The sequence below is a fragment of the Homo sapiens genome, chromosome 20, assembly GCF_000001405.40.
Source record: "Homo sapiens chromosome 20, GRCh38.p14 Primary Assembly".
NCBI classification, from domain to species: Eukaryota; Metazoa; Chordata; class Mammalia; order Primates; family Hominidae; genus Homo; species Homo sapiens.
The window spans coordinates 50,130,478-50,151,675 of NC_000020.11; the positions used below are offsets into that span (position 1 = coordinate 50,130,478).

The following is a 21,198-nucleotide window of genomic DNA, read 5'->3' on the forward strand; positions in this document are numbered from 1 at the left end:
GAATCAGTACCCTTGTTTGCCTAAGCCAGTTTAGATTTTCTGTCAAAACCAAAAAAGTGACTAATACAGGATAAAATGCAGTTAAAACAGCAAGAAGCAGCAGGGGAGACAATGGAAAAGCAAGACACCCCCAAATTCAGGGGTTCTGATGAGGCAGGCACATATCTAAACTCTTGGACCATCCCAAGCCTGATGCTTTTGCTTCCAAAATCCCAAGGGACTCCTGTTCTAGTCTTGCAGCACAGGGGTGAGGGACAGGCTGCAATGATGGTTCCCATCTTTCAGATAGGGAAACAGTCTTAGAGAAGAAAGGGGACTCACTCAAGGCCATACAGCCCAACCTCCTTCTTGAGGACATGGTTAGGTCAACATACTCACCTTCCCCACAATGGGCAGCTCCACAGAGCCCCATGTGTCAGCACCCCAGTGTACCAGGCCAGACAAGAAGTCAGCAATGAGAGCCCCTGCAACTGTGGACAAGAGGGTGAGTGAAGGGACATCCCTGCACCCCCCCAATCAGAATCACTCATTCATTTACTCACTTGCCCGCTCATTCATTTGTTAGGAGGGGAAGGTGTCCCTTCTTCTCTAGTTGGGATGTTTTCTTCCCTGAAGATGGAGCCTCAGGCTTAACACTCCTCCTGCCTGTTACTTGCTGTGCTCGGGGAGATGCCAAGACTCATGTGCTTGGAGAGTCTGGAGAGCATAAACTGGGCATGCTCAGATCAGCTCAACCTTTCCCTATTAGGAGCAGGCTGTGCCCTTCTCTCTGCCCCATATAAGGAAAGCCTGCTCTGCACCAGTGCTGCCTGGAACTGCAGCAATGTCCTTCTGGGTTTGGTGTTAGAAAGAAAGTACCTCGGCCAGGTGCGGTGGCTCATGCTTTGTAATCCCAGCACTTTGGGAGGCTGAGGCAGGCGGATCACTTGAGGTCAGGAGTTCGAGAATAGCCTGACCAATATGGTGAAACCCCGTCTCTACTAAAATCACAAAAATTAGCCAGGTGTGGTGGCATGCGCCTGTAGTCTCAACTACTCGGGAAGCTGAGGCAGGAGAATCACTTGAACTCGGGAGGCGGAGGTTGCAGTGAGCTGAGATCACACCACTGCACTCCAGCGTGGGTGACAGAGTGAGACTCCGTCTCAAAAAAAAAAAAAGAAAGTACCTTACCTGCAGATAGAAGCCTCGCTGCTCCACCCCCACCCCTCCAGCTTTTATCAGCAATAAACATGATCATTTGGTCTCCAGCAGCCTTTTCCTTGTTTCTGTTCTCAATCTGTTCGGAACTTGAGCAGGGTTCCCTCAGACTCCAACACCATTCACTCACTTGAGGGTTCAGTAGATTTGGACTCAAATTCCAGTGCTGGCACTCACTAGCTGTGACGCTGCACATGTTATTTAGCCTCTCTGTGCCCAGTTTCCTCTTGTAAAATGGGAATGATGCGACTGGGCGCCGTGGCTCACACCTGTAATCCCAGCACTTTGGGAGGCCGAGGTGGGCGGATCACCTGAGGTCAGGAGTTCGAGACTAGCCTGGCCAACATGGTGAAACCCCATCTGTACTAAAAATACAAAAATTAGCCGGGTGTGGTGGCACACACCTATAATCCCAGCTACTCAGGAGGCTGAAGCAGGAGAATGGCTTGAGCCCGGGAGATGGTGGTTGCAGTGAGTCGAGATCATGCACTGCACTCCTGCCTGGCCAACAGAGTGAGACTCTGTCTTGAAAAAATAAATAAATAAAAGGGAATGATGCTAACATTTACGAGCACTTTCTCAATGCCAAGCACAAATGCTTTACAGGCTAGATCTTGATGAATTCTCACCATTTGTTTTAAGTTGGTAGCTTTTTTATTCCCACTTTATAGAGGTGGAAACTGAGGCTTCCACCCCTGCTGCCTCCCATCACTCTCCTCTTTCGCTGCAGCCCAGGCCTACTTTATCTCCTTTCCCTTGCATGCCTCTGGGTCTTTGCATTTGCTGTTCCCTCTGCCTGGAACATTCTTTCCTAAGATGCAACACAGCTCACTCCCTCACCTCTTCAGATGTTTACTCAAATGTCCTCCCTGGACACCTGATGGAAAATTGCAACCACCTCATCTTCCAGCATTTCCGATCTCCTATGTATATTGTTCTCCAAGCACTCGGCACCTCTGACTGCTCTTGTGCTGGTTTATTTTCTCCCCCAACAAGGAGGTTGGCTCCACCATGGCCAGGGCTTTAGTCTGGCTTGTGGCTGCATCCCAGCTCTTGGCACCTATTCAGAACTCAGTAGAGCACTACTAAGTGCAGTGTTTGGCACATAGTAAGCCCTCAGGCCATATTACTGTTGCTGTCATTGAGTCAATCAACTAAGCCACACTCCACAAAGGCCTCCTGTGTGATAAGCTCTAGGGACAGAAACATGTCAGACACTGAACACATGTCTATGGGGAAACGCTGTAAAGTCCAGCAGAGGACAAAGGCAGCTGTGAGTGATGACACGTGTGGCCCCCTGGCTCATGGGGCTTCAGACAAACCCCTTCCCAGACTCGGTTTGTCTGTGTCAACTGGTTGTCCAAGATTCTGAGTTCTGCTGGTGCCCTCAACCCCTTGGTGACAGGGGACCAGGGTCTTGGGGGTACTGTGGAGACTGCAGAAAAGCCCCTGGATGCCTCCTGGGTGAGTGAGACTTGTGGTTGAAGGGACAAAAGTAAGCACGCAAGTCACTGTGAATGTGCAATCCTGACGTCCAGGCCTGGGGTGAGGGGCAGCCACTGGATGCCGACTTTCCAGAGGCCCTGTGGTATCCATCACAGGTGCCAAGCACGGGAGGGGTGGTGGGGGTGGGGGCAGCACAGCTTCATGCAGGCACCTGCAAGTTCCTGGGGATAAGGGCGGAAGGGCAGGTGGGGACAGGTGGCAGCTACACCTCCTGGCACACAGACGCCTAAGGACAGGCTGAAGGGTGTCACTGCACAGTGGCTGGGCTGAGGTAAAGGGGTTGGGACTCAGCAAGGCCCCAGAGCCTGTGCACCCAGTGGCCCTGCTCTGGTCTGGGCAGTCTTGCCCATTTGTGATGGGGAGGGTGGACCCAGGCCAGGGGCAGGGGCGGGGATGTAGAAGGCGAGGGAGGTGGAAGCCCCAGAAGGGCTTCTGGATTTTCTGTTCCTCTACACAGCACCCCACCCCCACTCCAGATCCCCTGTGCTGGCTCCTCCTCGGCCTTCTTGCTCAGAGCGAAGGTCAGCCAACCCTTCTGGCTAAAGCCATCCTTCCGGGCAGTTGCTCTCGCTCACATCTCCCTGCTTCATTTCTTTCATGGCACTTGTCATCCCCTGAGATGGCCTCATTTGTCATCCCTTCTTGGATGAAGAAAGAGGCCTGGAGAAGTTGAACCACTGCCTCCCAGTCAAGTGGCCTGGAAATGGCAGCTGTGGGATGGGAAGAGGCCTGTCGACCTGCCTCCAAAACCAGCACCCTTTTGTGTCCTTAAACTGCACTGCAGCAGGTCCATGGCATTATTAGAGCTCCTACTGCATACTTTGGGATGCTGTGTATGCACTGCCTCTGTCTACCAGCAGGGACAAAAGGCCATGTGGCCAAGAGCTATGACAGAACTAGATCAAGTGTTGGGGGCCTCAGCTCTTGCTACCATATTGCTGTGTGACACTGTGCCTACTCTAGGCCTCAGCATCTTTACTTGCTTAATGAGGTCAACTGAGGTATCTCGAGGTCCTGTCCCCATAGCTCGGACTAATGACATCTCTAAATGCTGCCTTCAGGCTGGGCTGGAGCACAGTGCAGAGCTGCAGAGCTGGCACCATTGCACTCCTCCCAGCACTTTGGGATGCCAAGGTGGGCAGATCACCTGAGGTCAGGAGTTTAAGACTAGCCTGGCCAACATGGTGAAACCTTGTCTCTACAAAAAACACAAAAAATTAGCCAGGGATGGTGGTGGGCACCTGTAATCCCAGCTACTCAGGAGGCTGAGGCAGGAGAATGGCTTGAACCTGGGAGGCGGAGGTTGCGGTGAGCCGAGATTTCGCCATTGCACTCCAGGCTAGGCAACAAGAGCAAAACTCTGTCTCAAAAATAAATGAATGAATGAATGCTGCCTTCATGAAAGAAATAGCTACAGAGGAGAAGTGGCTGGATGTCATAAGGGTGGGGCCTCGCAAGGGATTCAGAGTCCAGGTTCCTTGTTCCCCGAGTTCTGGGCTCCTGATGAGATGGGGACAAGCCCCTTCCCCTCTCTAAACCTTGGCTCATTTTATGTTATAATTGAATATAACCTACAAACAGTAAAGGCCATAGGCCTTACACAGCTCACAGCCTTTTTATGCGTAGACACACCTGTCTGACCAACCCCCAGGTTAAGATAGAGATTCTATACCTACACAGAATATAAGAGGTTGGCAAACTTTCTTTAAAGGGTCAGGCAGGCCGGGCACGGTGGCTCACACCTGTAATCCCAGCACTTTGGGAGGCTGAGGCAGGCGGACCACTGGAGGTCAGGAGTTTGATACCAGTCTGGCCAACATGGTGAAACCCCGTCTTTACTAAAAACACAAAAAAATCAGCTGGGTGTGGTGGTGCGGACCTGTAGTCCCAGCTACTCAGGAGGCTGAGGCAGGAGAATCGCTTGAACCTGGGAGGCAGAGGCTACAGTGAGCAGAGCTCGTGCCACTGCACTCCAGCCTGGGCAACAGATGGAGACTCCATCTCAGAAATAAATAAATACATAAATGGACAGTAAATATTTTGGGCTTTGCAGGCCAAGGCAGTCTCCACTGCAGCTCCTCAACTCTGCAGCTGTAGTGTGAAGGCAGACATCAACAGCATTCCCAGAATACCTGTTTACAAGTGTTTTTGGTCCTCAGGCCATAGTGTGCTGACCCCTGATAGAAAGCATTTCCAGGCCGGGCACGGTGGCTCACATCTGTAATTCTAGCACTCTGGGAGGCCGAGGCAAGCGGATCGCCTGAGGTCAGGAGTTTGAGACCAGCCTGACCAACATGGAGAAACCCTGTCTCTACTAAAAATACAAAATTAGCCAGGTGTGGTGGCGCATGCCTGTAATCCCAGTTACTCGGGAGGCTGAGGCAGGAGAATCACTTGAACCCAGAAGGTAGAGGTTGCGGTGAGCTGAGATCACGCCATTGCACTCCAGCCTGGGCAACAAGAGCAAAACTCCATCTCAAAAAAAAAAAAAAAAAAAAAAAAGCATTTCCAGCCCCACAGCTGGCTCCCCTGTCCCACTAAGCTCCCTTCTGACCCTGTTCCATGCAACCATAGAGCTGCCTCCTATCAGCAGAGACTGATTTTGCCTATTCTAGAACTTTATTTAAACGGATTCAGATGGTAGGTGCTCTTTGGAGCCTGGCTTCTTTTACTAGTGTAATGTTTCTAGCGTGGGCCATGCAGTCGTGCGGATCAGCAGTGGTTCACCATTTTTAGGGCTGAGTATCCCACCATCTGGATGTACAATGATGCATTTATCCACCTGGCCATGGTTGGCCATTTGGGCTGTTTCCAGTCTGGGGCTGTTTTGAATCTGCTGCAGTGAATATTGGTGTACAAGTCTATGTGTAGACATCCACCCTCATTTACTTTGGGTTAAGATGTCAACTACTTTTTTTAAAAAAAAAAACCTGATATTTATTGAGCACTTATAACTACCAGGCCCCGTGCCAACGCCTTAAATGTTTTATCTCCTTTAATCCCTGAATGGCATCAAGGCCTCGCTTAGGCCGAATCTTATCTCCTTAATCATTCTAAACACTTAATCCTCACAGATAATGAGAAAGATGAGCATAATAAAAATTATACAGATGAGAAAACAGTAGTTGGGTTAACACTGTGTACTGGGGCTTTGTGAAGTGTTAAGAAGTGCATCACTGGGAGCATAACTTCCCATTCCTTAAGTGTGGGCTGTGTACAGAGACCTCCTTCCAAAAAGAGCACAGTATGAATGAGGACGGAGGCTGGGCGCAGGGCTCACACCTGGAATCCCAGCACTTTGAGAGGCCAAGGCAGATGGATCACTTGAGTTCAGGAGTTCGAGACCAGCATGGCCAACATGGTGAAACCCCATCTCTACTAAAAATTCAAAAATTAGCCGACCATGGTGGTGTAGGCCTGTAATCTCAACTACTTGGGAGGCTGAGGCAGGAGAATCACTTGAACCTGGGAGGAAGAGGTAGCAGTGAGCCAAGATCGTGCCACTACACTCCAGCCTGGGTGACAGAGTGAGACTCTGCCTCAAAAAAAAAAAAAAAAAAAAAGAGGGGAGGAAGGCTGGGCGCATTGGCTCACGCCTATAATCCCAGCACTTTGGGAGGCCACGGTGGGAGGATTGCTTGAGTCCTGGAGTTCAGTACCAGCCTGGGCAACACAGCGAAACCCTGTCTGTATATAAAATAACAAAATTCGCCAGGTGTGGTGGCATGTGCCTGTGGTCCTACTGGAGGCTGAAGTGGGAGGACTGCTTGAGCCTGGGAGGTTGAGGCTCCAGTGAGTCGTGATCGAGTCACTGCACTCCAGCCTGGGTGACAGAGGAAGACTTCATCTCAAAAAAAAAGGCGGGGTGGGGGGAGCAGAGTAACTTTTGTTTGTTGTTTTTTTGAGACAGACTCTCCCACTGTGGCCCAGACTGGAGTGTGGCGGTGCCATTCACAGCTCACTACAGCCTTGAGCTCCCATGCTCAAGCGACCCTCCCACCTCAGACTCGTGAGGAGCTGGGACTACAGCTGTAGAGACAAGGGTCTCACCATGTTGTCCAGGCTGACCAGTGAACTCCTGAGCTCAAGCGACCCACTCACAAATCCTAAAGTGCCTCCCAAAGTGCTGGGATGACAGGCGTGAGCCACCGCACCCAGCCGAGGGTAACTTAACTGTGGAGAACTCTGACATCTGCTACCTTAGTCATGGGATCAGAGTCATCACAGTGATAAGTCATGTTGACAGTCTGTACTTTTGCTATGATGTGATGAAAATGGCACTTCACCTCTGAACTCTTCCTCCTCATAACCCGTAACCCCAGTCTAATCATGAGAAAAACATCAGATAGATACCAACAGAGGGGCAGCCTACAACACACCTGACTAGCACTCCTCAAAACCGTCAAGGTCAGCCAGGCGCGGTGGCTCACTCCTATAATCCCAGCACTTTAGAAGGCCGAGGAGGGTGGATCACAAGGTCCGGAGATTGAGACCATCCTGGCCAACATGGTGAAATTCCATCTCTACTAAAAACGCAAAAATTAGCCGGGCGTGCTGGCGCGCGCTTGTAGTCCCAGCTACTCGGGAGGCTGAGGCAGAAGAATCGCTTGAACCTGGGAGGCGGAGGTTGCAGTGGGCCGAGATTGCGCCACTGCACTCCAGCCTGGCAAGAGTGAGACTCCGTCTCAAAAAACAAACAAACAAAAAAAACTGGACAAGAGGAGCCTAAAGGGACATGACAACTAAAGGCCATGTGATACCCTGGATGGGATCCAGGAACAGAAGAAGGACATTAGGGAAGAACTAAGGCAATCTGAATAAGCCATGGACTCCAGCTCATGATAATGTATCAACACTGGCACACACTGTAACAAATGTGCCCCGCTAATGTAAGATTTAGGATGTGAATAATGGAGGAAACTGCGTGCCCCAGGCATATGGGGACTCTCTGTACTATCTGCCCCATCCTTCTGTAAGTTGAAAACTTGTTCTAAAAAATAAAGTCTGTTTTTCAAAAAGTGGACAATCTCACTTCATGTCCACAGTAACAGGCCCCACCCCATCCTGACCTTCCAGAGGAGGGTAAGAACTCCCCAAGGTCACACGGTGGCAGGGGCAAGGCAGGGCTGCTGGTGAGTAGCCAGAGACTCGCTAGAGTCATTCAGGATGATGCAACCTTAGGGTTAGGGTTAGGGAGACTTCGCACCCAGGTATGGAGAATGGGGACATTTACCTCCCTTAACTATGAGAAGTTAATAAAATGGGCTGCTGGGTAAAGGGCCCGGTGGGTCCCACGACACAGCAAGCATCCCCCCAACGCAGCTCCTGTGAGCTCTCTGCTGAGCCTCAGTCTTGCCATCTGTCCAATGGTCAAGGCCTGGCGCCTGCACGCTGCCCAGCAGGGAGGGATGTCTGCTTTGGACAGAAGTCAGGAATCATCTTAGGAGACCAGGAGCCCTCCCCCTGGCTCCGTGATCTTGCGGCCTCTGCCGGTGGCAGTGACTCCAGGCTGCTGTCTGAGGCTGCTTTAATGGGGGCAGGGGTGGCAGACAGGCACACAGAAGCCTCTTTGTCCCAGCTTTGGGGTGGTGGCAGCTGGCAGCCGGCTCCCCCTGGGGGCAGCTTCGGCTTGGTTACCACCCTTCCCCGCAGAACACTGGGACAAGGAGAGGGATGGGAGACGGCTCACCCCAGGCTACCCTGACTCACGGGGGAACTTGAGGTAGTCGCTGGGCCCGTGCGGGCTTCCATTTCCCCAGAGGTCACCCAGCTGGGACTTCCTCACCCCTCCCTGCCCACCTCAAAGGCCTGGCGTGGAGATGGAAGGCGTGGCTGAGGAGCCAAGTGAATGCACTGAGGGCAAATCCATGGGTTTCGGTCCTGGGTCCCAGTCCTGTCTCTACCGCCTTCCAGCTCAGTCAGATCCAGACTCCACTTCCAGCCACAGGACGGGCCACGACCCGAGCCTGGGACTTCTCTGACCTCATCCCTGACCTCTGGACTCACTGTGCCCTCTGCCCGGAAGGCTTCTCCCAAGGTCCACGAAGGACTCTGCTCCTTTAAGGGCCAACTCACAACCCAAACACTTCCTCCCCCTTCTCCACGTGGAACAAAAGCTCAGGGCTCCTACGGCCTTCACTTGTTCACCCACTCACTCACGACAACGATGTGCGTGTCACAGTGGCTGATGACCTCCACGTGGCTAAATCCAAAGGTCCCTTTACTGGCCACCTTGCTGGTCCACTCGGTGGCTGTTCCCAGTCGACCCCCAAGACTCCTGGAAACACATTCTCCTCTTGGCCCCTGCAAGCCCTCCCTGGTTCTCCCCCGACCTCCCTGGTTCTCCCCCCATCTCCCTGGCAGCGCCATCCCAGCCTCCCTTGCTGGCTCTTCCTCCTCCCCAGCCTGGAAACACGGGAGACTCAGCCCCTGGGGGTGCTCAGCCAGCCTAGGAGATAAGGAGCTTCATCTTGACACAGATGACCCCCGGATTTCTTTCTTTTTTTTTTTTTTTTTCCAGAGGAAGTCTCACTCTGTCGCCCAGGCTAGAGTGCAATGGGGCGATCTTGGCTCACTGCAACCTCTGCCTCCCGTGTTCAATCAATTTCTCCTGTCTCAGCCTCCCCAGTAGCTGGGATTATAGGCGCCTACCACCATGCCCAGCTGATTTTTGTATTTTTAGTGGAGACAGGGTTTCACCGTCCCAAAGTGCTGGGATTACAGGTGTGAACCACCATGCCCGGCCGGACCCCCAGATTGCTATTTCCAGCTGCCTCTCCCTGCCTCCAGACCTAGATTTCCAGTTTCCTGCTCAACACCTCTCCTTAGCTCAACAGCGGCCATCTCAAGCATCTCCCTCAGGCCTGCTCTGCCGATGACCTCTCTCCATCTCTGTGAATGACAGCTTCATCCCTTCCATCTCTCAAGAGAGAAACCTTGGAGTCAAGCTAATTCTCTCTCACCTCCACAGCCAACCTGGAAGCACATTCTGGCAGCTCACCTTTCACAGCTCCTCCAGAATTTGACAACGCATCACCACCTCCACCGCTCCACCCAGGTCTGGGCCACCCTTAGGTCTGGGCTGCCATCTTCACGTGGCTGGACCATGGCAGGCGCCTCCTCCCTGGCTGTCCCCACCCCCAGCCATCTTCCCTGCAGCATCAGATGATGTCAACTCCCTGTGGGAAACTCACCAATGGCTTCTCATGACCCCATATCCAGACCAGGCCCTCATGGCCCCACAACATCTGCTTCCAGTGCCTTGCTGGGCTGCCACAATTTTCCTTTGATCAATTTCCTCCAGCCACAATGGCTTCGCTCTGTTCCCCAAACACACGAGGCACGTGCCAACCTCGGGGCCTTTGCATTTGCTCTTCCCTGTGCCTTGGATGCCCCTCCCCAAGATCTCTGCACGGCCCCTCCCTCACCTCCTTCAGGTCTCTGTGCAAACGTCATCTTTTCAGAGAGGCCTTTCCCGCCTACCCGCTTAGCTTGATTTTGCTTCCCAATGCTGCATCACGTGTGTCTGTGTTTATTAACTCGACATCTTTTCGTGCTTCTGCCTTCCTTGATTTCTGGGACCTGCCTGGGACAGTGGAAGCTCTGGGGAGATAGGGGTAGGGGGCAGGCTCTGCAGGCTGGCACAGTGCCCTTACTGCCTGCATGTTAACACACAAATCGGGGTGGCTATTTAAATCGATTAGGGACTGTGCAAACACCATTATCAGGGGATTGTCTGCTCTCATCAGCCCAGAGAGAAATGTGTGGGATGGGGAAGCTGGTGCTGTGCAGCCTCGAAAGCCAGAGATTTCCTGGGCTGTGGCTGGAAGATCAGATCCCAACCAGGGAAGGGAGATAGTGACCTACCTGGGACATCCACCCTCCCAGCCTGCACAGCACACACCTGGGCTCTGATCCAGCCCATCCTTTACCCCCGTAGAGGCCTGAAACAGCCTGGCCTCCCAATGTTAACTGGAGGCTATACACGCCCTGGTGGGGAAGTCCTCAACTGAGAGCCAGGCAGGTCTGGATTTGCAATCTCAGACTCTGCTGCTGCCTGGGTGAGGACCAATATGTGACTTACTTAGCCTCTCAGATGGTGATGGGAACCTCCTCACTAGGGTAGCACAAAGAGTGAAAAGTGCCCAGCATGGGGCTTGGCACATAGTAGGTGCTCACAAAACATCCGTGATTAAACTGACCAGCGAGGCTGAAGTGAAAGCCTTGATCAGTGGTCTGGCAGGTGCTGTCCCCTCCCCGCCCCTGCTTAGTCACTGGTTTTCTCAGCACTTAGGCACACCTGCATTTTGCCTTCACAACAGCCCTAGGAGGCAGGTACTGCCAGCAGCCTCATTTACACTGTGGTAAATGAGGCTGAGAGATGCAATGTGGCCCAAGGCCACAGAGCCAGGAGGTGGTAGAGCTGGGACTTAAACCCAGGTTTGTAGAGGCCTGCTCGTAACCATCCCCAGATGAGGCTGCAAAGCTCAGACTGTATTCCTGCCCTTGAATATGGGGCTTGAGGCAGAGAGGCTGGGGGTGCAGGTCTCTCCCATCCCTGGGGGCAGGGGACATGCCTGGCTCCTGCCTGGGCTTCCCAGCAATGGATGGGTTCATCTCTCTCCCCTCCAGCTGGTCCGGCCCCCGTCCCCAGCATATACCAACCCCACCCCAGACCCAGATGGCTCAATTAGCTGGCCTGAGCACTATTGGCTTAGGTGGCTAGAACGCTTTTAATGAGATTGTGGGAGTTGAACCCTTAGGAAGGGCCAGGCAGGACCAAGGGCACAGCCGCCCCCTTCAGTCTTGGAGCCGGGGATGGGGAGGGGAAGGGTGGTGCATGGAGAGGAAGGAAACTGAGTCATCCAGGGCCTGGGAGTGGAGATAGTGTATTAACAACTATGTTGTACTCTGCCTTGAAGTGTGACTCTGGACTAGTCCCTTCTCTGAGCCTCAGTTCCCTCATCTGGAAAATGATGACAACCTTAGCGTAAGAAGTGACCGATGGAAAACACCAGGAGGTACTAATAAACAACAGCTCTCTCATTTATTCATTCATCAATTCAAAAAATACTGAGCACCGGCTGTGTGCCAGGCCTGAGGCTTGAGCTAGGGACACAGCAGTGAATGAAACAGACAAAAATCTCTGCTCTCAGAGAGCTGGCATTTGAGTTGGGAGAGATGTTGGGAGAGATAGATGATAAACAAATAAAGACACTGTGGACACAGTGTTAACAACAGAAAAGGGGGATAGTGTGTGACAGGCCTGCTATTTTGAGACGGAGTCTCGCTCTGCTGCCTGGGCTGAAGTGCTGTGGCGTGATCTTGGCTCACTGCAACCTCCGCCTCCTGGGTTCAAATGATTCTCCTGCCCCAGCCTCCCAAGTAGCTGGGACCTACAGGCGCCTGCCACCACGGCCGGCTAATTTTTGTATTTTTAGTAGAGATGGGGTTTCACCACGTTGGCCAGGCTGGTCTCGAACTCCTGACCTCAAGTCATCCGCCCCCCCCCCCCCGCCCCAACGGCCTCCCACAGTGCTGGGACTACAGGCATGAGCCACCACACCTGGCTGGGGCTGCTATGTTTTGTGGGGCAATCACACCTCCTCTGCTGAGAGGAGGTGACCTCTCAGCAGACACCTGGAGTGAGCCATGTAGGTGAGAGTTCTAGGCACAGAGAATGGCACATGCAAAAGCCCTGAAGTAGGAATGTATCTGAGAGCAGGTGACAGACGCACAGTCAGGGGGCCAGCGTGGCAGGTGCAGGGTGACCTAGCATGAGGGTGGCTAGAGGAAGCTGGGGCAGGTACACTGAGGAGCCGGTGTTCTATTCAGCTGCAGATGTATGCAGATGAGAGTGGGGGAGTGGCATGATCTGCCTGGGGCTCTAGCAGGATCCAGCTAGCCATGTGGAGACTGGACGGTGCAGGGCAAAGGTGAAGGCAGGGAGACCAGGAAGAAGGCTCCTGAAACAGCCCAGGCGGGAGAGGATGGTGGCTGGACAAGCGTGGGGACCATGAAGGTACAGAGCCATGGCTGTACTCCTCATGCAGTTTGAAAGTAGAGTTAACAGCATTTGCTGATGGTTTGGATGTGCAATGCAAGAGGAAGAGAGGAACTGAGGATCATGTTTAGGTTTTGGGCCCAAGTGACAGGCTGCAGGGAGGTGCTGCTGACTGCAATAGGGAGGTGGGGTACTCAAGGCACATACTGGACTCAAGCACACACATCCATGCATGTGGACACACACACGCGCCAGTTACCCGGTGGGTCCCTGGCCCCTAGGGAAGTTGAGGCAGGCAGCAGTGCCTCGGGCACTCACCAACACCGAGTATGACGAGGGGTGTGTCCTCCCAGCGGGCCAGCAGCAGGAGATGGACCAGGTTGTGGGCGATGAGGCTGAAGCACAGGATCACAGAGCACCACTCCTGGAGGCGCTTGCCTGCAGGGAGCAGAGGCGAGAGGTAAAGGCTGGAAGGTCAAGGCCAGGCAGAGTGTGGCCCCATGGGAACTTTTCTTTTCTTTTTTTTTTTTCTGAGACAGAGTCTCACTCTATCACCCAGGCTGGAGTGCAGTGGTGCCATCTCGGCTCACTGCAACCTCCACCTCCCAGGTTCAATCGATTCTCCTGCCTCAGCCTCCCGAGTAGCTGGGATTATAGGCACCCGCCACCATGCCCGGCTAATTTTTATATTTTTTAGTAGAGATGGGGTTTCACCATATTGGCCAGGCTGGTCTTGAACTCCTGACCTTGTGATCCGCCCACCTTGGCCTCCCAAAGTGCTGGGATTACAGGTGTGAGCCACCGCACCTGGCCAGGAGCTTTTCAACTTTGTTTAATGCATCTATATTGCCAACCACAAGCTGAGCTTACAGACTCCCGCAAAGGAGTCTGTACCCATTTCACAGATGACGTCACTGAGGCCCTCACCAAGGTCAAACAGTCAGGGCTGGATGCATTAAACCAAGGATGGGGCCCTTCAGAGAGTGGCCCAATTCTCTGACAGACCAATTCTTTGACAGACAGGACCAGAACTCTGGTCTCCTGGGCCCCTCTGGGCTCTCTCTGGAGACACCTAAGGGAACTTTAATGAGCTTCTTTTTCTTTTTTTAAAGTAGAATCTTTGTGGCTTCACTTGTCCCCTTTTGCAGGTAACTATTTGGAGGCAGAGGCTACAAACAACCTTTAATCCTGGTGGCTCACACCCTGCCCAGCCTCCCTCAAGCAGGCTCCAGACAATGAGTCAGGAATTCATGGACAAATAGGGCTCTGGGGCAGTGGGGCTTCTAAAAGTATGGCGTGTGGGCCAGGGAGGCAGAGCTTCTGATTCCCAAGAGGAGCCAGAAGTCAGGCTTTGGGTGTGCAATCTGTTTCAGTGTTGCCACATAGTTTTCACAGACACACGAGCCCAGACAAGCTGATTCACTCGCTGCAGCTTTGTTTGTGGTGTCAAAACTTGGGAAATAACCTAAGTGGCCATTGCCTGGGGATTGGCCAAATGAATTCAGTCCACATCATCTCTGCAGCCAGGAAAACACCTGGGCAGTTGTCTATAAGTGGACGTGGAGAGATGTCCAGGACATCTAGGTAAGTGCAAAAAGCAAAGTGCCAAATAGCAGCCATTTATGTTAAAAAAAAATCTATATAGTTAAGACCGGCTTTTCCCTTATTTCCTTTTAAAGTACTAGCATATTACATTGTTTTCTTTTAATTGTAAATTAAAATAAAAAAATAAAAGGGGGCCATGCATGGTGGCTCACACCTGTAATCCCAGCACTTTGGGAGGCCGAGGCAGGAGGATCATTTGAGACTAGGAGTTCGAGACCAGCCTGGCCAACATGGTGAAACCCCATCTCTACTAAAAATACAAAAATTAGCCAGGCATGTGGCGGGTACCTGTAATCCCAGCTATTCGGGAGGCTGAGGCAAGAGAATCACTTGAATCTGGGAGGTGGAGATTGCAGGGAGCTGAGATGGCACCACTGCACTCCAGCCTGGGCGGCAGAGTGAGACTCCATCTCAAAAAATAAAAACTAAAATAAAAATAAAAATAAAATAAATAAAAGGGGTTAGGCCCAGTGGCTTACTCCTGTAATCCAAGCACCCTGGGAAGCTGAGGCGAGAGGATTGCTTGAGCCCAGGAGTTCAAGACCAGCTTGGGCAACATAGCAAAACCCTGTCTCTATTAATAAACAAAACAAAACAAAAAATTTTAAACATTAAAGGAAATAAGGCCGGGTGCAGTGTTTCACACCTGTAATCCCAGCACCTTGGGAGGCCGAGGCAGGCAGATCACCTGAGGTCAGGAGTTTGAGACCAGCCAGGCCAACGTGGCGAAACCCCATCTCTACTAAAAATACAAAAACTAGCCAGGTGTGGTGGCAGGCGCCTGTAGTCCCAGCTACTCGGGAGAGGCAGGAGAATCGCTTGAACCCAGAAGGCGGAGGTTACAGTGAGCTGAGATCACGCCATTGCACTCCAGCCTGGGTGACAAGAGTAAAACTCCATCTCAAGAAAAAAAAAAATTAAAGGAAATAAAAACACCATGTGGGTGACATAGAACATGTGACTAGGGTATGCCCCAGGCAGCTGCTCCATAAGGCACAGAAGACCTTTAATGACAACAATTTTATCATGGGTGTTTAAAATATACTGAGCAGTTACTACATATCAGGCGCCTGCTGAAGTGATGTCCTTTTGCAGATGAGAAAACTGACCATCAGAGTGGTCAAGGAAGTAGCCCAAAGCCACCCAACTAGTCAGCAGAGACCAGAATTCCATGGCCAGAGGTCTGGCTCCTAAGATCCCGCTCTCGCCCCGCTCTATCCTGTTCCTGCTGCCCCTGGTCCCTCCCTCTATTCCCCATCACCCTATCACCTTGACGACATTCTGGGTCAGGAGCCCAGGCCCCCACTTAAGCAGCGGGGCCAGGCAGGTCCCTGTGAAGGGGTCAGGGCCAGAGCAGGTGAGAAGGGCTCCTCCTGTGTCCACCCTCTCTTCTTTTTAGGACTCTGTGCATGCTGTTCTCTTCACTCCCTGTGCACCTGACACTGTTCCTGCAGATCTCACCCTGGAAACCTCCATCTCCAGGAAGCCATCCATGATGCCTCCTCTGACCCCACACTCCCCCCACACGAGGCCCATTGCTCATGCCTGTGGCCTTGTCTACGTTTGTCTTTCCCTACCTAAATGTGAAGTCGGGAGGCCCAGAACCATGTCTGGCTCACTCACCAGGGCCCTGACACTCAGTAAATGCTTGCAGAATGAGCAAATTCCCAACCACAATCCTAACGGACAACTCCATGGCTTTGTCTCTGGGTGCCGCTCACCGACATACCTTGGGAAGGAAGTACTGGGTTCCCCATTTGTCATGATAGGGAAACTGAGGCTCAGGGAGAGAGAAGGCCTTCTCCAGGTCACACAACAGCAAGCTGCTCCTGACCTACCCTGACCCAGAACCAGGACAGCTGCCCTCCCCTGCCCCTTGAAAAGACCAAGGCTCAGAAGGGGAACGGAACACACCAGGGTTACATGCCCTTGGCTCCTTTTGTGCAGAAGAAGACCGTGAAGCCCAGGAAGGAGAAGGACCTCAACAGAGGTCACATAGCAGAGGTCACAGGGGCCTAGATCTCCTGGTTCCCCAATTCTCAGGCGAGGGCTGTTTCTCTTGAGCCACGCAGCACCCCCACTGCCCCAGCAGCCGCCCCAGCCTGGGGATCACCATGATCAGGCCCAGCAAGGCCTTCCCCTTTCTGATTCTTGTTTGTAGCCAAGGCCCAGGGCTCAGAAGCAGAAAACCCCGAGTGGGTGGGGTGGGAGGACACGGAGAGGCGGTGAGAAGGAAAGAACAAGTGAACCTTCCCGATCGACCTGCCTGCCTGCCCCACAGCATGCAGGGACAGGAAGTGGGCAGAGCCAACTGCAACATGATCAAATAACAGTTACCCTAACAATGGCTGACACACACTGAAGCCTGTCATGCGCTGGGGTGTGGCCCATATCGGAGAGGTTGCAAACTGACTCCCTCTGACATGTTTTGCCCTCAGTTTTAAAAAGTGAGCTAAATTTGAAAATCACGTAAAATTCCTAGTTTCCTGCTTCCCTCAACAACACAGGGCTCTGGCCACCCTAGGCCTAAACAATAAGTAATAGCTGCCCCCATCCAATGGGATATGAGCTCCAGGTTCACCCTGGTCCTCTCCCTTCCCTGGGGTCTCACACTGGGTGGCCAGATTTGGTGGCAGCCCTGGCTGGGCCCCTGCAGTCATCTGAGTTTTTGAGTCTGAGGCACAGTCTCTCATTCAAGTATCAGCCCGTCAAGGAAGGAACTGAGTGATCTCATTTCCTAGACAAGGAAACTGAGGTTCAGAGCTGGGTTTGGATCCCAGACACATCAATGAGACATGTTAGCCTGGACGTTCGGGGCAGTCCTGAAACCAAAGATGATCCAGCTCTCTCCCCACGCCATGGAGAACGTCCTCCAAATCTGAATATTTTTCCATCTAAACTCCATCTCTCTTTGGCCTCTGGAAGCTGGATCCTTCTGCAGACCAAATACCTTAATTCTCATCCATAAAGAATGCATACACAATGGCCGGGTGTGGTGGCTCATGCCTGTAATCCCAGCATTTTGGGAGGCCGAGGTGGGCAGATCACGAGGTCAAGAGTTCGAGATCAGCCTGGCTAACATGAACATGGTGAAACCCCGTCTCTAAGAATACAAAAATTAGCCAGGTGTGGTGGTGTGCACCTGTAATCTCCTAGCTACTCGGGAGGGTGCACCTGTAATCTCCTAGCTACTCGGGAGGCTGAGGCAGGAGAATCACGTGAACCCAGGAGGCAGAGGTTGCAGTGAGCCGAGATCGTGCCACTGTACTCCAGCCTGGGCGACAGAGCAAGACTCCGTCTCCAGGGGGAGAAAACATACACAACTTAAGTAGCTTTCACTGAGCAACTGGAACATGCCAGATACAGGGCTAAGATGATCTCAGCACCCCTCACCACCTCCTGGAGCTAGGGACCCTCTGTCCCATCCTTCAGAGAGAGAAGCTGGGCCTGGAGAGGTCAAGGCACTTGTCCAAAGTCACTTGAGGGTCACCAAAGTCACAGCATGGATCATCAGCCTGGCAGGGCCTGTGGGGTCAACTGGCCTAAACTGTATCACTTAACAGATGAGCAGACTGAGGTGGGGACAGGGAGGGTGGCTGCTCAGGACACAGGAGGCCCGGGCTGTCTTCTGGCTGTAGTGCTGAGGTCCTGCTATCAGAGCCAGCCCCTGGCTTGGCAGGGTTTGAAGATCTGAGCCAAAAGCAGTAGCCACTTATTGGCCTGAGGAAGGGGCTGGCCTCGTGTGGTAGGTATGGGGAGCTAGGAAGAGCAGGGGAGGCCTGGGGTCATGCCTTTGTCATCCTGCTTTCCAGGGGACAGGCTGCAGTCAAAGGCTTGGTGGGCCCAACTCTTCTGGTTCCAGGCAGAGACAAGCCCCAAATAAGCTGGACTTCTGAGGACCCCTGGCCTCCAGCAGACCCTCAGCCTCAGGGAGATGGGGGACAAGAGGTAGAGAGAAGGTGGGGATGAGAGATGGACAGAGGGACAAATAAGAGATGAGAGACAAATAAGGAATCAGAGCCATGGGAAGATGAGAAACAGGCTGAGTGCCGCGGCTCATGCCTGTAATCCCAGCACTTTAGGAGGCAAAGGTAGGAGGATCACTTGAGGTCAGGAGTTGGAGACCAGCCTGGGCAACATAACTAGATCCTGCCTCTACAAAAATAAAAATAAAAATTAGCTGGGCGTGGTGGCTCACACCTGCAATCTCGGCACTTTGGAGGCTGAGGCGGGAGGATCATTTGAGCTCAGAAGTTTTGGGTTGCAGTGAGCTGCAATCGCTCCATCACACTCCAGCCTAGGTAACAGAGCAAAACCTTGTCTCAAAAACAAACAAACAAAAAAACCGAAAGAAACAAAGATGAGAAACAGAGACAAAAGGAGCAAAAAACAGAAAGCCCATCTGGGGGACTGAACCCCTGGGTTCAGCTTTGGGAGTACAGGCCAGGACTCTCACCCAGTACTCCTGACACCCTCCACCTTTCCCTTCCCCCTGTGCCAAGAGCCTCTGTAATCCCCAGGGCAGGGGGCACCCACAGTTGGCCTGGGTGGGGTACAGGTGGATCAAGGACCGTGAGGCTGCACCCATGAAGCCTGGGGCACCTGAGAAGTAGCACACACATGGCCAGATTTCAGCTGGGACCTCCTGGGAAGCTGGACACCCGCCTCACCCTCTGGCCTGCCAAGCTGGCCAGGCCCTTCACAAACCCTGACATCTGGCATGAGGTGGGCTGCTGCTGGGAAACTCAGCCCAGAACAGGACAGAACGGCTCCTGGGTCCTGCAGGACCAGGGCTCAACCTCTGGGCCAGACACTTGGGGCCTGCGAAATCAGGCTGTGGCCGCCTCCCTGCTGCACCTGTCACCATTCCCTCAGCCCCATGCTGCTCTGGTCCAACTACTCACAGCTCCCTACACACAGAGGCCCATTCTCTGCCACCTGCCCTGCACACATGCTGTTCTGATGATCCGGAATACTCGCCCCCACCTCCCACACACTCACCCCTGGCTGGCTGACTTCCATAGTGAAGAGTAAGAACACAGAACCTAGCGCACCCCCACCCGGCCCAGTCCCGGGTTCCAGGCCTAGCCCTACTGCTGCCCGGTGCCCCGCCGTATGACCTCAGGCAGCCTCTCCCATTTTCTAAGCCTCAGGAAATGTTCCAACAAAAGTGGACTGGGTGCTCATGAGGGGCCAAGCACTTTAATCAAACCAAATAGGTTCAGTCCCTGTCCTGCTGGCCTTCCCATCAGGTGAGGGCAGATGCGGGCCTAACCCCGATCAGGGTGAGCTTTAGGAAGAGCATGCCTGGGGTGGGGGTTGGGAGGGGTTGCAGCCTCCTCCTCTGTGAATGCAGTTAATATCAAGGTACAGCTCACACGGTTGTAGTGGGGATGCACGGAGAGCAGGTGAGGAAAATGCCAGCACAGTGAGGCTCAATCACTCGGCTATGTTGATTGCCATGATTATGGCTGTCAACTGTCACAGTGCCAAACCACCTCCAGCCCCAGTAATCTCAAACATTCTGCTCCTAGAACCCAGGAACTTCTTCTACTCTTCCCTCCAGCCTACATGTGTCCTCCATATTCCCTAAACATGCCTGGCAAGCTCCCACCTCAGGGTCTCTGCATTTGTTGTTTCCCTGGTCTGGACCAACCCTTCTTCAAATATCCTCAAGGCTCCCTCCCTCCAGTCCTTCCTCCCTTCAGGCCTCACTTCGAATGTCACCTGCTCAGGGAAGCCTTCACTGCCCCCTCCCTAAAATGTCATTCCTGTCCCCAACATTTCAGATCCCCCTCTCCTGCTATGTATTTGCTCCACAGCGCTTGCCACCACTGGGCACGTGAGACAGTTATTTGTCAAGTTTATGGCCCGGCTATTTACTAAAATGCCAGCTCCGTTTTTTTCTTTTTCTTTTTTTTTGAGACAGAGTCTCGCTCTGTCATCCAGGCTGGAATGCAGTGGTGTGGTATTGGCTCACTGCAACAACCTCCGCCTCCTGGGTTCAAGAGATTATCCTGCCTCAGCCTCCTGAGTAGGTGGGATTACAGGGGCCTGCCACCATGCCCAGCTAATTTCTGTATTTTTAGTAGAGTCGGGGTTTCGCCATGTTGGCCAGGCTGGTCTCGAACTCCTGACCTCAAGTGATCCACCCACCTCGGCCTCCCAAAGTGCTAGGATTACGGGTGTGAGCCACCGCGCCCGGCCAGCTCCATTTTTTTCTGTCTTGTTCACCATTCTGCCCCCAGAGCCTAGAACATGGACTAGAACATAGGTGTTCAATATGCACTGAGCCTGGTCTCTCACTTTTTCAGGCCCAGAGAGGTCAAATACTTCCCCAAGATCACACAGTGAGCAGATAGAAGCAGAGAGGCCAGTGGAAAGGAAGTTGGAGAAACCAGTTTGGCAAGTCTCCTCCCCTACCTCCAGGTCTGGAGGAGATAAAGGGCCTTGATTGCAGATTTGGGGCACCAGGCTGTCTGCAGACTCTGATTCAGGCATGGCTGTTCTTCAGAGAGTGAAGGGCACTTGGGGAAACCAGAAATGGACAAATATGCAATTGATCGTGGTGGAGTGGGGAAACAGCAATCCCTGGGGAGGCTCAGAATGCCTGGGAATGATTTGGGCTGTCTGAAAGTAGGTAGGGTTCACAGGAGCAGGCAGAGCTGGACACTAAAGAGGGAGGCCCTTGAATCCTTATCCCCAATTCCCAGGTGGGGAGTTTGAGGACCAGAGAGGTGAGGCGGATCCCCCACAGCAAAGGTCAGACTACTGTTAACAACAGGGAGGCGCCAGGCACAGTGGCTCACGCCTGTAATCCCAGCACTGTGGGAGGCCGAGGTGGGCGGATCACAAGGTCAAGAGATCGAGACCACCCTGGCTAACAC

General features: G+C 52.9%; 3 protein-coding genes across 5 annotated transcripts in view, besides 2 other annotated features; 1 reads left to right on the forward strand and 2 right to left on the reverse strand.

The window, feature by feature from the left end:
* The window catches only part of PEDS1-UBE2V1 (PEDS1-UBE2V1 readthrough), a 72,600-nt gene that overhangs the window by 49,354 nt on the left and 2,048 nt on the right, over positions 1-21,198 (reverse strand). The window contains exons 2-3 of the mRNA NM_199203.3: positions 13,025-13,144; positions 379-470 (exon numbers count right to left, since the gene is read on the reverse strand). Of these exons, the coding sequence (NP_954673.2) occupies positions 379-470; positions 13,025-13,144 (212 nt within the window). The remainder of the gene's footprint in view (positions 1-378; positions 471-13,024; positions 13,145-21,198) is intronic.
* PEDS1 (plasmanylethanolamine desaturase 1) overlaps positions 1-21,198 on the reverse strand; it is a 35,470-nt gene that overhangs the window by 12,224 nt on the left and 2,048 nt on the right. Inside the window, exons 2-4 of one of the 3 annotated variants that reach the window (NR_027889.2) lie at positions 20,735-20,838; positions 13,025-13,144; positions 379-470 (exon numbers count right to left, since the gene is read on the reverse strand). Coding sequence is in view for 2 of the 3 variants with exons in the window: in NM_199129.4 (NP_954580.2) it covers positions 379-470; positions 13,025-13,144 (212 nt within the window). In the remaining variant the exon portion in view is untranslated. The remainder of the gene's footprint in view (positions 1-378; positions 471-13,024; positions 13,145-20,734; positions 20,839-21,198) is intronic. The other 2 variants (NM_001162505.2, NM_199129.4) reach the window with 2 other exon arrangements.
* Positions 7,868-8,555: an enhancer, noted in NCBI's record as "H3K27ac-H3K4me1 hESC enhancer chr20:48754882-48755569 (GRCh37/hg19 assembly coordinates)". NCBI's record gives its function as "activates a minimal SCP1, AML or CMV promoter by ChIP-STARR-seq in naive H9 embryonic stem cells {active_cell/tissue: H9 hESC(naive)}" and the evidence as "EXISTENCE:reporter gene assay evidence [ECO:0000049][PMID:30033119]".
* LOC124904927 (putative uncharacterized protein CCDC28A-AS1) lies at positions 13,252-13,416 on the forward strand (the record flags this gene model as incomplete). Its single annotated transcript, XM_047440630.1, has 1 exon — positions 13,252-13,416. A coding segment is annotated over one exon (165 nt), but the record flags the coding sequence as incomplete, so codon positions are not given.
* Positions 13,261-13,896: an enhancer, noted in NCBI's record as "H3K27ac-H3K4me1 hESC enhancer chr20:48760275-48760910 (GRCh37/hg19 assembly coordinates)". NCBI's record gives its function as "activates a minimal SCP1, AML or CMV promoter by ChIP-STARR-seq in primed H9 embryonic stem cells {active_cell/tissue: H9 hESC(primed)}" and the evidence as "EXISTENCE:reporter gene assay evidence [ECO:0000049][PMID:30033119]".